Consider the following 18,232-nt stretch of genomic DNA (forward strand, 5'->3'; position numbering starts at 1 on the left):
AGCTGAAGGTCTAAGCTGATCACAAGCTTGAGAGATACAGAAATGTGATATCTGACTATTAACTGGTCTCCCCGGCTCCACCCATGTGCTATACTTTTAAAACTCAAACCTGACCACATCATGGTCCTCCTTACATTTTTTCCATGGCTGCTGTCATCTGGACCTGGATTAAATTTCAGTCTCTTGTGAGTAGAAGAGGCAGTGGAGACCTCTAAGCATTTCCCTCAATCTAAAAATTCTGAGTTTCAGGCTGGGTGCTGTGGCTCACGCCTGTAATCTCAGCACTTTGGGAGGCTGAGGCAGGCGGGATCACCTGAGGTCAGGAGTTCAAGACCAGCTTGACCAGCATGGAGAAACCCCGTCTCTACTAAAAATACAAAATTAGCCAGGCATGATGGCGCATGCCTGTAATCCCAGCTACTCGGGAGGCTAAGGCAGGAGAATTCCTTGAACCCAGGAGACAGAGGTTGCAGTGAGCCTAGATCACACCATGGCACTCCAGCCTGGGCAACAAGAGTGAAACTCCGTCTCAAAAAAAAAAAAAAAAAATCTGAGTTTCAGCCCAAATTCTATCTTTTACCAGAGCTGTCCATGGCAGGACAGGCCCAGGAAGACAGAGAAAAGTCTTGTGTCCCCTCTGGCCTGGTGAAAGTGTGACTCGGAGGACCAACTGGAGTCTTGGCTGGCCAACATTTCTAAGAGATGTTGCTGGCATGTTTTCCTACTGACCCAGAGATGGAGTCCCAACACTGTGAAAACTGAGCCCCAGCCTCACCCACCACAAACCCCCAGAAAACAAGACGGCTCAGCAGAGCGAAATGCAAAAGCGATGAGGGGAACAGGATGATGGAATGGAGCTCCCATTAGATGGCAGGGATTGGAAGACTAGATGACAACACAGGCCCTCGTGCTGGGGATTCAAATAGCCCCACATCCCCTGAGCTGTGGGCAAGAACATCAGGGACTTTGGGTAAATTCAAGTGGAAACAAACGTGGCTGGCACCTATACCATTGCCCTGTGTGTGTATATGTGCATGTGAGTGTGTACTGGTGGGAAAGAATGGGGAAAGCCATTCTGTACAGCAAACACCAACCTTCAAAACGTCATCAGAGTATAGTGGCAATCTAGATTGAGGACAGACACAAGGAAGAACTTCCCAATAGTCAAGCCTAACTCTAAATACTTTGCTGAGTCAATCTAAGGAATTGAAAGAAATTTATTTCCGTCTAAACCTTGAAAGAAAGGGTAAATATTCACTGAGAGATGCACTGGCATGTAACCCTGAATGGGCAAGCTCTTAGACATGTGTTTCATACATAAAATGTTCTAAGGATTCCAGTAGGCTGCCCGAAATAAATAAAAAATGTTGTTTTAAATGCATTTACCCTTGGACCCAGCGATGCCACTTCTGAGAACTTTTTTCTAGGGCTGTACCTGCACATGTATGTAATGACACACATGAAAGATACAAGGGTGCAAATTTCTTGCAGTGCTGTCTGTAATAGCAAAAGGCTGGAAAGACACATGTGTTCATATACTGGGCACTGGGCAAATACATGTAGTGGAATACTATGTACCTAAAAAGAGAAAAGCAAGTGGATTATGGACTGATGTTGAAAAGATCTCCCAGAAATGTCAAGTGAATAAAGCAAAGTGTGGGATACTATTTTCACAGGGTTTTTTAAAAGGGAGAAATAAGAATATGGTGATATGTATTTGTTCTATCTAGAAGTTTCTGTTTGACTATTTCAGAAGACTATGTCACAGACCCAGAGTTTAGAGGACACAGATTTAGAAATTGCATAGTATACAGTAGGGGTTGGCACACTGCAATCCGCCTCACCACATTTTAAATTTTTGTTGGAACACATTAAGTACATTCACTTGTATACTGTCTATGGTTGCTTTCTTGCTATAATGGCAAAGTTGAGCAGTTGCAACAGAGGTCATGTGGCCTTCAATGCCTAAGATATTTACTATTTGACCCTTTGCAGAAAAGGTTTGCAGACCTTAGTGTGGAATGATAAGCAAGCATCTGTAGCCTCCCCAGGCTTGGTTTCTAACTCTAGTTGTACCAGCTATCTGGATGAACTTGACCAATCCCCTTCCTGTCTAGGACCAGTTTGTTTTTATTTTTAAATCTGCAAAAGGGGAAAAGAGATGGTTGCCTCACACATTTGTAAAGAAAAGTCTATGAAATTATGAACCTAAAACAGAGCAGCCACATGTAGAGTCATAAGGAAATTAAATGAACAGTCTATTCACCAACGTCCGCTGGCCTGGGTTTGATTCCATGTCCCACACTTTGTAACTATGCAAAGAAGACAAATTAACCTCCCTAAGACCCAACTTCCTCCTCTACAAAATGAGTACGATCACAGAACCTGGGACCTGCATGAACCAAAGTTGAAATACGGTCGGCGGAGAAGCAGGCATGCAGGATGTGGTTAGTGCATGGTAATTATCACTTTTAAAAGCATTTAGTTGGCTTTAGACTAACTTCACTTTTGGACCAAAGCTTCCACATTTTTAAAAAGACATATCAGAGGCAGTTATGAGGCTAAGTGAGAATTGGGATGTAAACATGCTTTGAAGCTACGGTGTCAACTGTGCAAATGTAAAGGTTCATTCATCTTCAGAACAATCAGCCCAGGCTGGGCCCTGCCAGCCCAGCCTATAGACAGGGGCTTCTGTTTCCAACAGGAAGAGCTCTGTTGACAGAAGAGGTTTGCCCAAAAAGATAATAATAGCAAGTGAAAAAGTGACTATGCATTGCCCATCTCCTCTATGGCAAAGTTCTAACTGTTCCCTATGAATTAGGTCACTCCATCCTCACTTGGCCCCATGAGGTAAGTCCTAATGTCACCATTTTACAGATGAAGAACTAGAATATGAAGATACTGAGAGGTTAGCAAGTGGACACCAAGCTGCAAAGTGTCACAGCTGGGATTTAAGCCCAGACAGTGCGGCCCCAGAGTATGTGGCTTTAATGAGAGCTGAGGCAGGCAGTCCCTATGGGCAACTGGGCCCCATGTTGCATGTTCTATAACCACAGAATGTTAGAGACGGGAAAGCTGAGAGAACCTCTGGTTCGATGTCTTCACTTTACAAATGAGAGCAGAAAGGCCCAGAGAAGTGGGCAAGGGGCCCAGCCCTCGATCCTATGGGACTTGAACCAGAGCCTCTCACAACTTTGCATTTCAAGGAAGCAGTGGACAAATGTGTTATGTGTGTACGCATGTGTGTCTGTATGCTATGTACATGTGTGTGCAGCATGTTTGTATGCCGTGTGTATGCTGTATACATGTGTATTTGTGCAGTGTTTGCATGCCCATAAGTACAAGTGTGAGCTCCGGTGTGCCTGTGTGTGTCTATGTGCACATGTGCCTGTGATGGGGTAGCCAGGAAGATCTCCACTCACCTCCCCTTTCTCCACCAAAGGCTTCACCTCAGCGAGGTCTACATCCTGCATCTCCCGAGACATGTCCCTGCTGTCACCTGCCTGCAAGGAGACAAAGGCCAAAAGGTCAACACTTCCTGCTGAGAGGTTTCCTAAAGGAAGCAAATCCAAGACCAATGGCAAGAAGGCCAGGCCTGCGCTCTGCCCAGCAGCTTCACCTCCCTCGTGATGCACTGCAGGGGATGAGGAGGTCCCTTGTACACACAGCCCATGGACCCAACCCAGTCTTCCCATTGGGGCCAGCGCAGTGGATTTCCTGGGAGAGGATACTGAGGCTCACAGACACCACCCTCCCAATGAAATGGATAGATCAGCCTCACAAACAGGTCCCCATACCAAGTTCAGGCCCACCCACCATACCCAGGATGCAGCTCACTGCATTCTAGAAGGGGACCTGCATTGCTGATCCCAAAGTCAGGCAGCCCCCGTGTGACAATGAAAGGGGAACACAAGCTCACACGATGCTTACCACGTATAGGCATAGTGCAAGCTTCAGCCTCACAGTTAGCCCTAACAGAAGGTTGGTGATGCAGACGCACAGACACACAGGCACACGCATGCGCGTGAACACACATACACACCCCACGGTGCAGGACTCTCGGCTGCCTGCTAAAAGGGAAGAGGGGCAGAGGAAAACCTTAAGTCAAGGAGTTTGGCAGGCATTTGAACGCACAGTACAATTTTGTAAGAAAAAAGACCTCCAAGGCAGAAAGCACTTCCTGGATCAAAGCAGGGGATGGACCAGAGGGGTTACCTGTGCTCTAACACAGGGCAGGTGCAGAAGTGTGGGCTGCAAAACCAGACTGAAGCACAGCCCAGGAAGACTTGGAATGCTGCCACTGACTCCCTGGGGTGCAAGGCTTGGGCAGGTGGTGCTATCTATTAAGCATGCCTCCAAGAGCTGAATCTAGAAACCAGAAGTATAAGCATGTATTCTTCTAGATCAGTAGTCAAGTTAGAAAAACTAAATGCCCATCAATCCCTGGGGTGAAGCATAAAAAATGCAGAATAAGGTCAAGTCTTACAGACAGCAGCAGAGGACCGGCGGAGAAGAAGTAAGTGACAAGAGGGAAGAGCCCAGGCCACCCACCCAGTTCACAGATCCAGACTTTCTGAATGGAAAACGCCTGACCAAAGCCCTCACACAGCCAGCTTCAGAGTGGGAACCTGGGCCCCGCACTGCCCAAGGCCCCTCGGATGCAATGGTCGAGAGAATGCAAGCCTCTGAAATTCCTGCCTAGGGCTCCTCTGAAGACCCAGGAACTCCCAAGAACCTGGTGAAACACCTCTTAGAGGTCAGCCGGCAAGTGCGGGCCACCCCGAATCCACCCCGGGTCCATCCCTTGTGCCAACACATGGCATTCCGTGGGCAGATCCTGCTCTCCACTGGGGTGCTCTGGTCTGGGGCCCCAGCATGATTTTCCCCAGTAGATAACCAGCCCCACAAGAATGGCTTTATACAGACTTTGGAGTCTATGCTCCAGAACATTCTGAAAACAAAGTCGGTTTTATATTTGTGAGCATTCCTGGGCAGCTGCCAGCTTGGAGGCAGGAGGCATGAAAGGCCCGCGTCTGTTAGCCTTGCTAATTCAGCAGGTTCGTGGTCCCAAGACCCTGGCCTGTGGGACACCTCGCCTACATGGCCTAGGGAGCCTTCCAGAAACCCAGGGCCCTGCCAACGCCACCCCTCATTCTGGGAGTGAAAGGACTTCTCATTTCACAGGAGCTTCTTAGCATACCCTGCTCAGCAAAGCGCGCCAGGGTGAAGTCAGGGGGCTCTCACTGTCCCACCAGGTGGGTTCAAGCAGTCCTATCTGTGAGCTTCATCAAGCAGGTAGCTTGTTCTTTTCTCTACCTCTAGCTCCCAGCACGAGAGACTCTCCTAGGCAGAAAGTCAGGCTGCAACTCCCTCTCTGAATAAATGAGCAATGTAGCTCAACAGCATGCTTTCAGTAAAATTCACTTTTAAATCATTGCTAAACCCCAAGAGTGCAATGTCTGGAAAACAAATTCTACATTTAAAAGGACTCGAGAAATGCTGTGGTTCAGCCCAGTTTGGTCAGTTCTCTTTGGCTTCCAGAAACCGTGATCACATTAGGACATAGTGTCTGTCAGTCTCCACCAGCTCTCTCGTTCTCCAGAACAGAAAAGACAGAAATGTCCACCTTCCCCGTTTCCTCTATCTGGTGAAACCTCTTTACCCTACCCGGCACCTTTTTTATTCCTACAGCTTAGCTTCCCAGACCACATGAGGCAATGGGTTAAAAAAATCGCTGTGTGTCCTAGAAATATCAAGTTCTTGAGCATCTGCTTTTGGGAGCTGGTGGGGCCTTCTCTGACCCAGCCCCCTCACTGCTAAAGGCCTTTGGGAAGTCCAGAGATAAAACTGCTGAGGATGATCACGGGGTATATCTAAACTAGGGGGGATTTTCTCTCCCAGGGGACATTTGGCAATGTCTAGTGACATTATTTATTGTCCCCCAAATGATTCCATTGATTTTGAACCATTTAGGAAGTGTCCTAGACTCTGAAGTCTGCCGGGAGACTGGATAAAGCTTTGCACTAGTCTGGGGGGACTGTGGGGGCTGCAGGCCTCGGGGTAGCCTGCATGTTGGTCGCGTCCTGCAATACTAAGGCCGCATGAACCAAGGACTGCAGAAGGTGCTCTCTGCAGGTTGACCCAGCCAGCTGCTGGCGGTCCACCATCTGGCCAGCCTGTAGGGTGGGAGGAGAGCGGCTCCCTCACCTCAGTTCTCCCGAGTTGGGCCCATCAAGCAGCCCTTACCTTGTCCCTGATGCCTCAACCAAAAAACTTTTCAAACTTTTTTTGCAGGAGCTTTTATCCAAAGGAAATCATGTAAGGAAGTTCAACATATAAAAATGTTAAAAAATAAAAATTTTAAAATTTAAAAAGCCAAGGTGCTTCGGCTCAAGCCAGGGAAAGGGGCCTGAACCCCACTCCACCCCAGGACTTGGCTCCCTACAATCTGCCCACTCCCAGCCCCCACGCCACCAGGCTGGCCCTCAAAGAACATCTGAGTTCACGGAAGCAGGATGGAAAACTCAGGATTTATTCAGAGGTTTCTACCCACTAGGTTCTATGTGCCCAACACAGAGCTCAGAACAAAAATAACACCAGCTATGGTGATGAGACTGGCTATGGGACTCATCTGGGGATCATGAGCAAACAGACCCAGTTCCTGCCCCCACGGAGCTCACAGTCCCGAGGGGACAGGCACTCCCTTGGGCTCACTCATCAGGCTGCATCTGGGCTGTGTCCACTGTCTGTCTGTCCCCCTGGAGGGCAGAGCAGATGCTGTCTGGACAGCATCCAGGACAGCGTCTGTGCCTCCTGGACAGAGATCCTCAGCTCAGCACTGCTGACATTTGGGCCCCACAAGCAGCCTCTGCCTTAGGGGCTGCCCTGAGCACGGGAGGAGGCTCAGCAGCATCCCTGGCCTCTGCCCACCACATGCCCACAGCATACACCCCACGCTGCGACCAGCAAAAGAATCTGCAAACGTTGCCAAATGTCCCCTGGTGCGACATCCACCCTCCTCTGGAATAGCTGATTTTAGTAATTCCTAGTAGGTAACAGTATCCAGAAAATGTCAGTTGGATGCATTCTTATTTAATCTAGTGCATGCGTGCACACACGCACACACACACACACACACTCTCAAATGCACTCACACATTCCCTCACACTGACACACTTGCAAACTTTCATTCTCACACTCAGACATTCTCACATTCACACACTTATACTCACACATACATACATTCTCACAAACACACTCATTCTCACATACTCACACTTTCTTACACACTGATACATTCTCACTTTCATGGACTCTCACATCCACAGTCATTTATACTCACACGCACTCACACGCACACGTGCACTCCCCACCACCTTCATTCACGGAGGAGGGGGCTGGGCCCAAGCGGCTGCCAGCTGTCCTGAGCTCACCCTGCTGGCTGCAGCACAGGGGCTGGAGTGGAGTCAGATCCAATGTTCACACTCTTCCTTCACTCCACTCTCCCCAAAACACTTTTTCTGGGATTCAAAGTCACCACCTGAGAATCATGGAAGGACCCAGTTCTGGCAGAAGCTGCTGTCTTCTGGTGTCTGTGATCTCCTTCTGCCAGCAGGAAATGGCAGGTGATACGTGACCTGGTTTGGCGGCTCGAGCTGGTGCTTCCACTCCTGCTCCCTCCTCCCGGGCACCTGAGGCCCTCACGGCTTAGCAAGTGTGGCAGGTGGAGCCTGTCCCTGGGCTTGAGGTCCTTGCTGGACTCCAGCTCCTGCCCTCCCTCTGCCTCATGCAAAGTCCTAATCACAGAATGTTGGGACCCACTAGAAAGCATCAAAGAGGTCCTCCAGCAGGTGGGGTGGCAAGGCAGGGCCACACACAGCATGGCGGGGGAACCAGGGCTGACTCCTAGCCCACCAGCCCCACCTTTGGAGTGGCTTGGGACTGACAAACCGTGTCTCCATCTCCAAGGCCATCTTTGCTCCCCAAGAAGCACAGAAGAAACCCCTCCAGCAGGTCTCCTTCAGCTAAAACCCAGCTTAGCACCAAAAACAGGGCTCCAGGTCACAGCACCAGCTGCCAGCCTGTATCTTCACTTCTTTTCCCATCCACCTGCCTGGGAGGAATTCCGAGAAGACCAATGCCAGAGAAGCGAAAGGTAGCCAGGAGCTGGGGGAAGGCTTGCAGGCCATGGTGTCACCATTTATTAGCTCTGTGATCCTGCATAATTTATCGAATCTCTTTTTAAAAATGTATTATTCATCTTGTTTTTTAGAGAGACAGGGTCTTGCTATGTTGCCCAGACTGGTCTCAAACTCCTGGGTTCAAGTGATCCTCCTACTCCGGCCTCCTGAGTAGCTGAGATTACAGGCATATGCCACCATGCCTGGCTATCTAACCTCTTTGCCTCAGTTTGCTTGTCTGTCAATGGGCATGCTAACTCCTGCTCCCAATGATCAGCAGTGGGGCTTAAATTCAAGAATGGCATGGAGAATTAAGCAAACAGTTGCTTAATTCATCAACATACTTTCCTTTCAGGGTTGCCTTGGAGATGCCAGGACATCTGTGAGGATGTGGCCTGGGTTTCAGTCCTAGAGTCCCAGCGAGGAGAGGGACACATGGAAAATGCTCAGCAAATGCCACCAAGGTTTCTGATTATCAGGCCCAGTGCGTCACCACTGGGGCCCTTCTCTCCACCAGCACTGTCTGTCAATGAGTAATGAGGGCCCAAGAGGGGCTACACAAATACCCTTCCAGTCCAGCAGACCCAGGAGAGTCAGAGGAGAGCTGGATCACAGGTGCCAGGCAAAGCCAAGGCCAGGATCTGCCCGAGGAAGAAAAGAACGTGACCCGTGACCCTGGGACCTGGGAGGGCAGTGGGCAGAGGCATCTTCAGTAATCCGACACCACTTGAGAACTGTTCAACAGCCCCTGGGGGACTGAGGGGGACACACAGAGCCTGTGATTCCCAAAAACCTCAGTGGGGCAGCAGGAACGCTGGCCTAGGAATCAGGGCATGGGGACCCTGCCACTTTCCTATTCCATGACTCTGAGCAAGTCACTTCCTCTCTGGGCCTTGGTTTCTCCATCTGTAAAGTAGGCACAGTGTACGTCTATGGAGATCACGCTGTCCACAACAAACTTACAGGCAAATGGAAACCCAGGCAGGAAGGTGCTTCACCAAGACAAAAGGGCCACAGGGTCTTACCAAGGCCCTGCCAGGCTCAGCTCTGGCCAGATTAGCCCCGCACCTTGGACCAAGGCCCCCACTTCTGCCAGCCTCAGACTCCTGTCTGTTAAGACTAGTGCCTTGCTCCAGCTCTGCCACCCACCTGCACACCCTCTTGAGCAAACTCTCCTGGGCCCCGCCACAACTCCCACAGGGTGAGGCTGAAGGGGTATCCAGCAGAGAAACATCCATGATCTGTTCTAGAAGTTCCAGGTTCCGCCCACCAGGAAGAGCAGCCACAGGAAGGCAACAATGTAACCCTACACAGACACACCACAAAAACAGCACCAGGAACAGTATCTGTGGCACTAACTGGACTCTAAACCCGGTACTTCCTTTAAGCCTCACAGAAACCCTAGGAGGGAGGTGCCAGCATGTCACCATTTAACAGACGGGGAAACTGAGGCATCAAGAGGTTAAGATGTGTGCCCCAAGTCAGCAAGCATCAAGCTGGCTGCTTTAAGGTTAAAGCAACCTTAAAGGGAATGTTGACAATGATCTCACATTGCCCTAAATATATCCACAGTCCTCACCACCACCCGTGGCCCAGATACAACGTTGTAAGGTGGGCTGCACGTGACCATGAGGCTTTCAGCGTGTGGAGGTCAGCTGGGACAGTCACATGCCTCTCCTCCACCCTGCAGTCACCACTGAGCCATCATGAGCAGGCTTGAGCTTTTGGCAAAACCAGCATCTTGAACTTTTCTCCCTTCACAACACCCAGAAGGTTCTCTGTTTTCAGCTCCCCCATAGTACCTTCCTAAGACGGCCAACTCAATGCTTTGGAAAAGCATTCACTCAGCACACTGTTTCACTTGCTCCTCAAGGAGGTTGCCCCGGGAGAGGCTGGGTATTATACCCAGTTCACAAATGGGTAACCTGAGGCTCAAAAACAAACACAAAGGCCCACTTGACTTCCAAAGGCCACATGTCTAGATTCCTCCCTACTGAGGGAAAGGTGAAAAACTCACTGGTTTGTTGTGGGTGCAGGTGTGGCACTCATTCCCTCGGGGGAGGGCGGACAACAGTCCCCTGGAGGCCTTCAGTGAAGCAGATAAAGGGAGAGCAGGCGGGAATTGCTGACAAGGGTAGCATCGATTGTCACCAACAGCAACTGGCCCAGATTCCACCCTCTGTAACATGCCTGGTTTTAAGGCCACATGAAAGCCAGTGTTCTCTCCAGCACATTGTGCTCTTTATAGAACAGATTTTTAAAAGGAGGGAAAAAATCAACATGTGCTGTGGCTGTTTGCTGTAGCAACTTCCCCAGAAAATTGCCGAGAACAGCACCATTTCTGCCTGAACCTCAAGGAAAACCACCTTGAGATAGGCCCTGGATAGCCCTGCCTTACTGTGGATACAATCCTTTGTCATTTCTTTGCCCAAAGAGATTTTGAAGTCAAGCTACAAAGCAGTTCATGGGCTCTCTTGGTGTTTTCTGGCCCTTCTGAAACTCAAGGCCCTGGGGAGGGTGAGGAAGTTGGCAGTCTTCACGAACTGTCTTTCTTAACTAATCAACTCAGCAAACAATATGGGTGGATTCACTGGACCTTCAAGAAAGTTCCCTAGTTTAGAGGTTAGGGAACTGTATCAGAGCAATCAGAATCAAGGAAACAGTACAAATGTCAGAGAACAAAACCACAGTAGGAACTCCTCGAGGGCCCCTGTACTTTGCAGTGGAGCCTGAAACCCAGGAGGCATCAGTGATGTTTGATATTCAAGGAATGAAAAAGGGATCACTAAGAAGGTGAACCCCACTGTCTCCCTCTCAAACAAGCCAAAGCCGCATTCACTCCCTGGGTGTGGGTCCAGAGGGGCTGGAGCTGAAACTGAACTGCTGTGTGTTCAACTTGAGCACAGCACCAGGGAGGTCAGCAAGAGTGTCCCAAACACAACAGCAGGAAGAGGGAGGTGTCAGGAATCTCGTCAGGGCCCACCTCTTTTCTGCAATACAACCGAGATCTTCCTGGAGATTCTCAGTGGAGTTTTGGCAGCACGAGTAATTTGTTTGGCAGACAGAAGACGACCGTCTGAGGGGACGAGGTGAATAACTGGAAGTCCAAAGGAGGACACTGGTCTCCTTAGAGGATTATTTTGTGAAATTGCAAGACAGGCATGAGCTGCGCTGGATGGTCTGAGATAATTTGTGGAAATCACACAAACGGAGCCAGTGTTAGCAGAGGACGAGGAAATGGCTTCCTCATACAGAACCCTTTGTCCCGAGATGGGATGCTAGCCACGCTAACAGGATCCTTCCCCAGAATGGTCTTGCAGTTTCCACCCTCCGGAATGGGCCTCCGATCTTGTCTATGCAAGATGGTCCAAGTTACTTCCTTAATCAGTGGAGATGTCCTTTCCACCACCACTAACACAACACCTACTAAGGACAGGCTCTCAGGTTTCATGGGAGACATGGACAGGTCCCAGGAAGGACCCAACCCAGCCTCCCCTCCAGCAGAGGACAGCCAAGGAGGCCTTTCTGGAGAAAGGAGGAGAGTTCCATGATTAAAAAGGAGGAAGGAGAGATGGTAAGCATTCCCAGCTGAGAGAGGCCATAGACCCACCTCTTAAATGGCCCTCTCACATCCATATTTGAAGAGGGTTACTTGGAATCTTCTTAGGTTCCGTGGGGGTGGGGCAGAGGGTGAAGGCAGGAGAACAAGGTGGAGACCTGGGCCCCCACCCACCTCTCTTCAAACAGAACTCTATGCAGATTTAAAATGTATAGCTGCAGAAAGTCTCCCCACAGATTTAAAGAAAGGAAAGATTAAACTGCTGGGGAGGGCACTCAAGGCCCCCAGACTGTTAAGGAGCCTCACTTTCTACCAGCTCAGTTGCAAGAAAACCCGCTGGACTCAAAAGGTCAGAGATGGAGCCCAGGCAGGTAGGGCATAGGCAGGTCTGCAAACAATGTTAGGTGGGAAAGTCAAAGATCTGGGTCAAAGAGACCTGCTTATGGCCCCGATTGTGTAATCCATTCCCATTCTGTAGTGCTGGGGCTTACGCCCCACCCGAGGGAGCCCAGGTTTCTTTTCACATGGCCCCCACCCCGAGAACACGGCTCCAGGTTGGCACCTACTCATGGCCCTCTACCTCTGCAGCCGCCTTCCTGTGGGGCCTCAGTGTCCCCAGCCCTTCTGCCTACCTGCCTGGGCTAAGTTCTCAGCCAAGACCGCTATCTAGCCTGCCTCTATCTCCAAGTTGAAAGATAAAAAGCAAGTGGACACGCGGTACTTCCATCACACAGCCATCAAGGGAGGCAGGAACAACAGCCTGGGGTGGATCCAGGAAACAAGCTCCTTCTCAAAAGGTGGGCCCAGAGGGTGTGGGTGGCCTCCAAGCGCAATGTTGGAGGGTGGAAAGGGCTCAGGAGGCTCACCTTGGGCAGAACCCCACTCACTGGACTCTGGACAGAAGAGTCACCAGCCTGAGCCTCAATTTTCTGACCTGAGAGGTGGAAAGAATGTCTTCTACCTCAGTTAGCTGATGTGATGCATTGAACCTCCAAGGCACTATAGCAAACAAGAGCTATTTACTGAGCACTCACTAATTCCCTGGCACTGTGGACACAGGGTGGCCTGAAGGTACAGCGGCATGTATGACTACACCTTCCTTCTTCTCTCCCCTGTCATTCCAGAGCAGAGGTTCTCAACTCTGTCTGCCTGCAGGATACCCCATTCCCAACCCAGCCAAAGGAGCTTTGAAACAACAGCATATCCCCTGATGGAGAGAGAATCGCAGGAGACCGGGCCTGGAAATGTGCATTTCAGACAAGATTTTCATGACACTATTATGCAACCTACATAAGCTTAGCAAAAAGCAATACCTAGGTCAAGCATTTGCAGGCACTTTCACAGCCTTGGGTAGGTTTAGGACAAAGGGTCCCAGACTCTGCCTGCCAAGAAGATGCCTTGAGAATGTCTTCTGCGGGTGCTACTGACGGCAAACACCTACACGCTGTTTTCCACATGCTCAGTGCTGTTCTCAGGTTACACAGATTAATATTTACACATTCTGATGGCATCATGTCTGTTACTCTCATTTTACAGAAAAGCAAACTGAGGCATGGAGCTCCTGACTGCCTTTTCATTTGAGCCTGATTTCTTCAGGCGCCCCAACATGTTGTCATGGAAAAAAAACAAAGGCTCTGAAGTCCAACTGTCCGGGTTCAAAGTCTGGCTCTCCCACCTGAGCCATATGGCAACAGGCAAATCCTGAAACTCTCCTGGCCTCAGTTGCCTCATCCATTCAATGGAGCAATACGATCCAGGCAACGTTCTTGCGAGGATGAAGGCAGATGGAGGGAGACAGTGGCTGCTCTGGAGGGAGAGAGATGTCGTGTCCCTCCCTGGCCTTCCTTCCAGGCTGAGTCAAACCTGAACCCTGCTTGAGTCTCAGATGCTGAGTCATCACGCTTTCTCTCCCAGGACAAGGCCTCTGAGTCACATCTGGAATGGGATTCTCTGGGGTTGGGTCCCAAGGAAGAACTGCAGCTTTGGGCCACCCGAAAAACACAATGCTATCTTTCTTTCAGGTCCATGAGGAGGCAAGTTCAGGCCAGCGGATTTCAACGTAACCCAGGGGGGCCCTCAGCTCAGTTGAGATCTGTCTTCTGTCATGGGGGGGGGGCAGCCCCATTCAGTCAAAGGCCAACTCAGGGGGCTGCAGCCTCTAAGCCCCTGCCCTTCAGGCTGGCTTTGCTAATCTCTCAAGAACACCTGATTTACACTTAAAAAAAATCATTCCGCTCTGCCCCTTTGGCCTCAAAAGTTTCCTCACCAGAAATTCAATGAAGATGCAATTTCCTTTCGCCCCTCCATAGCAGGCAGGCAAAATCCTGCCAGGAACCCTTTCCACTGCCTTCAGTCCCACCCAGGAGCCTCTCACAAAGCTGAGCTCCAGCTCAGTTCGGCCTGGGCACATCCCTCCCCATCCCTGTGCCTCATTTTCCATCTGTAAAATGGAAAGAAGTTGGACTAGGTAGGTCCTGTGTGAGTTTTTTATTCCATTCCAAATGATCAAACTTTGTTGCTCCAAAAGAACTTCCTCACAAGAGACCCAAACAGACACTCCAGGATCCCTCAAAAGCAAAAGCCAACACCTCCACCCATGCACAGTCTATTACCTCGCCCGAAACTCAACCTGCTGGTTCACAGGAGAATGGGGCAGAAGACCCAGAGCCATCCACTTCATCCCATGTGCATATTTCAACTCCTCCCACCTGCCAGGCGCTGGGCCAGGGGCCAGGTTACAGGGCAGGGCAGGCAAATCCTCCTCCTTGCCCAGATGCAGTGGGAGACACGGTCCCACAAAGCTAAGAAGTCACAGGTCAGGGGAACACCCAGTTTTCCATCCACACCAAAACCCTCTCTCTCCCTTACACCTTCCTTCATCCCCGACACTGTGCCACCCCAGCCTGGGGCTGGCTCTGCCGCCACACACACCACACAGAACCGGTCTGCGTCTCCAGCCGTGTGTCTTCCCCACCAGAAGGCAGCCCTTCCAAGAAAGGCGCTGGGGTTTGCCCCCTCTGTACCTTGCTTATTTCAATCACATTTGTGAAACTCAATAAGAACGCCAGAATTTCTCAACAGGAAGAGTCTAGACTGAAAAATTCGCCTTGAAACTACATTTCTGCAGCAAGAACAGGGGGTTTGTATTTAGATATGTTCTTTTGAGGCAGCTTAGGAGAAGGTCCCGTGCAGCTGATGGGTATTATAAGGATGTCTACCGCCCTCCTGCCTGGCCACTGGCTGACTTCTGAATATTAGATATTTCCCAGTAGCTTAAAGAAACCAAACAAACTGAAGTGCCCCCAGCGTCCGTGAGGAAGGGGTGTTCTTGGATGGGCATAAGATAACCAAGGGCCCTGCCTCCCCCACCCACTGCCAGGCATCTCCCACTTCCAAGCCACAGAGGCGTGCTGTTCAGGACCCCCAGGGACAGCAGGGACAACAGGCGGGGGATATGGGGGAGGGGTGGGTAAGGAACCGACCCACTAAATCCCAGCTCCAGCTACTAATTTGACAGAGGCGTGACAGCGTGTTTCCCCCAGAACCAGCCGCATTCCCCAAGCCCAGCCCGAAATCTCCTCCCGAGGCTGAATCAGAGACCGCGGCGGATCCCCCAGGAACGTCGAAGTAATTCCAGCTGTTTTCCCCCGTGGAGGGCAGGAGCGGCCAGCACCAGAGGCAGGGGAGGGGAGGAAAGCGGGGGAGGGTGGGCGGAGGCGAAAATGACGCCACTCCTAGCTCCAGCCAGCTCAAGGGGCCGCCAAATGTCCGCGAGACCCCTCTCGCCCAGGTCACTTCTCCCACGCCGCCGATGCGCCAATCCCGGGTTCCTCCGGGGGCGCACCCTGCCCAGTGGCGCTCGCAGACACTTGCTCCGGCTCGCGTGTTGCACTGTGACACACCCTGGACCCTCCCCCCACACACACGCTTACACTCACACATGCACACCGCCCTGTGTGTGCTACGGGACTGAAGCGCCACCAGCCTCTCGGATCCACACCCGTTCCCGACCCAGTCTGCAAGCCAGACACACCCACGCCCCCCTCTCCAGCCTCCTTGCCAGCGCCACTCACCTCTACCAACCCCTCATCTACACACTCGCGCGCAATCTCTCCGTTCCCAGACACAGACACACACACACACACACACACACACACACACACACACTCACCTAGTCCCTTCTGCACCCACGTCCAGCGCGCACCCCTGCCAGCGGCGCCAGCTGGGATTCGGAGACGACGCCAGGAAACGCTATCCTGGTATTTTTTCGGACCGTCTCATCGCCCCCTTCCCGACCTCCAGAACCCCAATCCCCAGCTAGGGGGGAGATGAATGGGACCCTGTCTTTTTTTCCTCCCTTTCCGTAATTGAACCCCCCACTTCAGCGGTGTCTGCACCCAAAGCCCCCTCGCGCCCGCGCCCCGGGGTGACCGCGCACTTGCAGCTCCGGGGCGCTTACTCCTGGAGTACGCGGGGCTACAAAGGGCGGTCCTGGCGCTCCAGCGGCACCGCACGGGCGGCCCCTTTCTGCTCCGCGTCGCGCCTGGGAGAAGAGGGCGCGGGCTTACCTAACGCGAGGGAGAAAGGAAAGGACGGTGCCGAGGCTGGCGGCCCAGCGCCCCGCGGAAGCCGAGGGCGGATGGTGAACTGACGAGCTTCAGCACCAGCTGGGAGCCAGGCGAGGTTTGTTTACGTCCGGGCGGAGGGCGACTTTATAGGCGCCGCGGCCCCGCCCCCGCGCCTCGCCCCTCCCAGACCCTCGCAGTCCCAGCACGCAGCCGGGACACACCCCTTCCCCGCTCCCTGCTCCCTCCTCCCGGGCGCGCCGGGCTGGGCTGGGCTCCGGCAGCGCGCGGCGGGCGCCCACTGGAGCCGCCGCCTGTTGCGCAAGCAGTCGTAGGGGCGCGGCCGGGAGGGGCATCGGGGCCCGGGTTGTGGGTCGGCTCTGCAGTCCCCTCCGAGTCCAGGGCCTCGGCCTGTGCAGCGGGCGCGTGTGCCCTGCCCGGAGGAGGCGTTTGTGTGCTTGTGCGTGTTCATGTGCGCGCTCGTGCGTGTGCATGTGGACTTCCTTGTGTCTCCGTATGGGCGGAGGCCCCCCATCTCTGCCTCAGAGTTTCTTCTAAGAGTCTCGTTGCGCCACGCCCTGAGCGACTCCCTTCACTTCCTGTAGGTCTCACCAGCTCGGCTCTCCAGCCGGATTCGGCTGCCTGCCCAGCAGCCGCCTTCGCTTTCGCCCGACAGGCTCCCTCCGATTCTCAGCCTTCCGTGTCGCCAAAGCTCTCGCTGAAATCCTCGCTCCCGTTTAATCTCGTCCATCTTGCCCACCGCCGCCCAGCGCTTACCCTTCCCCTCATCTTCCCAGTTCTAAGCACACTCACTGGACCTTGCCCACTGGGCTCTTCTCTCCTGCCCCACAAGCCCAGATGAGAGGATTCTCACCCCTTCCTATTCTGATTTCCTGAACTTTCATGACTCACCCTTTCCAACCTTAGCACCGTCCTGCTCTGCTGCTCTGTTTGTGCGTAACTATTGGCCTGCATGTTCCCATCTGGCCAAAGAAACCAGCAATTCTCAACCCCTACTGCATATGAGAAGTCCCAGAGGAGCCGCCAAATTAAAAAATAAATAAATAGATAGATAATAAAAAGAGAGAGATGGACTCCAGAACAGTTTAATCAGAATCTCAGGGGGTGCAAACCAACTGGGCATTGGGGTTTTTACAAAGCTACCCAGGTGGCTCCTGACGTGCAGCCAGGTTGAGAAGCACTGCATGGAGGAACATGATTTTATGAATAAAGGAAGTCTGACTCACAGCTGGCACCGTCATTGTCCTCAGGCCACCTGCCCAGCGTTGAATTTGCCACTGAGCCCAGGACCAGACCCAGGGCAAGCTCAGGTGACCCTCCCTGCGCCTCCACAGACACACACGCGCGCACGCACAACACTTCCTGCTGAATTGTAAACCTCTTTTCTGTGCCAACCCATGCTGTCCCCAAGGCAGGGGCCATGGCTTTCCCCTCTGATTATTAGGGCCAGTTTTGGAGAAGGGTTTTCTGGAACAAAAGAAATATGGAGAGGGGCAAACAGCACCTCTAGGACCCAGGACATCTGTGTTTCAGGCCTGTCTTTGACACTATCGATCACAAATCAACAAATCTGGGCTTCAGAATTCTCACTGGCAAAGGGAGAGGATTAGATTCAATGATCTTTCAGAACCTATCTAGTGCTAAAGCTCTGTTATTCTATTACAAATGACCAGTGTGAAGAACAGAGTTCCAGTGTCATGGGTTTTGCTGCTAGAAGAGTTTGGCTAAACTACAAAGTTTGGCTATTAGCTATGAAGTTTGGCTAAACTACAAAGTTTGGCTACATTCAAGAATGCCTTGAATGTAGGAGCACATTCCCCCACCCTAGAAAATTTAACATCTAGAATTAATAAGTGAATGAATGACCACTGGGCAGTCTTCCATTCTTTATGGATTTGAACTAGTTC

The 18,232-nt window shown here is 51.7% G+C and overlaps 1 protein-coding gene across 8 annotated transcripts in view, besides 3 other annotated features; it reads right to left on the minus strand.

The window, feature by feature from the left end:
* The window catches only part of NDRG1 (N-myc downstream regulated 1), a 60,078-nt gene extending 43,652 nt beyond the window's left edge, over positions 1-16,426 (minus strand). For 3 of the 8 annotated variants that reach the window (NM_001258433.2, NM_006096.4, NM_001374844.1), the window contains exons 1-2: positions 16,308-16,426; positions 3,423-3,503 (exon numbers count right to left, since the gene is read on the minus strand). Coding sequence is in view for 5 of the 8 variants with exons in the window: in NM_006096.4 (NP_006087.2) it covers positions 3,423-3,485 (63 nt within the window). In the remaining 3 variants the exon portion in view is untranslated. Of the gene's footprint in view, positions 1-3,422; positions 3,504-15,812; positions 15,865-15,910 lie in introns of those variants that run through there. The other 5 variants (NM_001258432.2, NM_001374847.1, NM_001135242.2 and 2 more) reach the window with 4 other exon arrangements.
* Positions 4,373-4,873: an enhancer, noted in NCBI's record as "H3K4me1 hESC enhancer chr8:134297442-134297942 (GRCh37/hg19 assembly coordinates)". NCBI's record gives its function as "activates a minimal SCP1, AML or CMV promoter by ChIP-STARR-seq in primed H9 embryonic stem cells {active_cell/tissue: H9 hESC(primed)}" and the evidence as "EXISTENCE:reporter gene assay evidence [ECO:0000049][PMID:30033119]".
* Positions 12,911-14,110: an enhancer, noted in NCBI's record as "P300/CBP strongly-dependent group 1 enhancer chr8:134305980-134307179 (GRCh37/hg19 assembly coordinates)". NCBI's record gives its function as "activates an origin of replication core promoter dependent on BRD2, BRD4, P300/CBP, MED14 and CDK7 cofactors, with strong dependence on P300/CBP, by STARR-seq in HCT116 cells {active_cell/tissue: HCT116}" and the evidence as "EXISTENCE:reporter gene assay evidence [ECO:0000049][PMID:35650434]".
* Positions 16,307-16,756: a silencer, noted in NCBI's record as "silent region_19562". NCBI's record gives its function as "represses an Ori minimal core promoter by ATAC-STARR-seq in GM12878 lymphoblastoid cells {active_cell/tissue: GM12878}" and the evidence as "EXISTENCE:reporter gene assay evidence [ECO:0000049][PMID:35858748]".

This window comes from Homo sapiens, chromosome 8 (assembly GCF_000001405.40).
Source record: "Homo sapiens chromosome 8, GRCh38.p14 Primary Assembly".
In the NCBI taxonomy this organism is placed as follows: domain Eukaryota; kingdom Metazoa; phylum Chordata; class Mammalia; order Primates; family Hominidae; genus Homo; species Homo sapiens.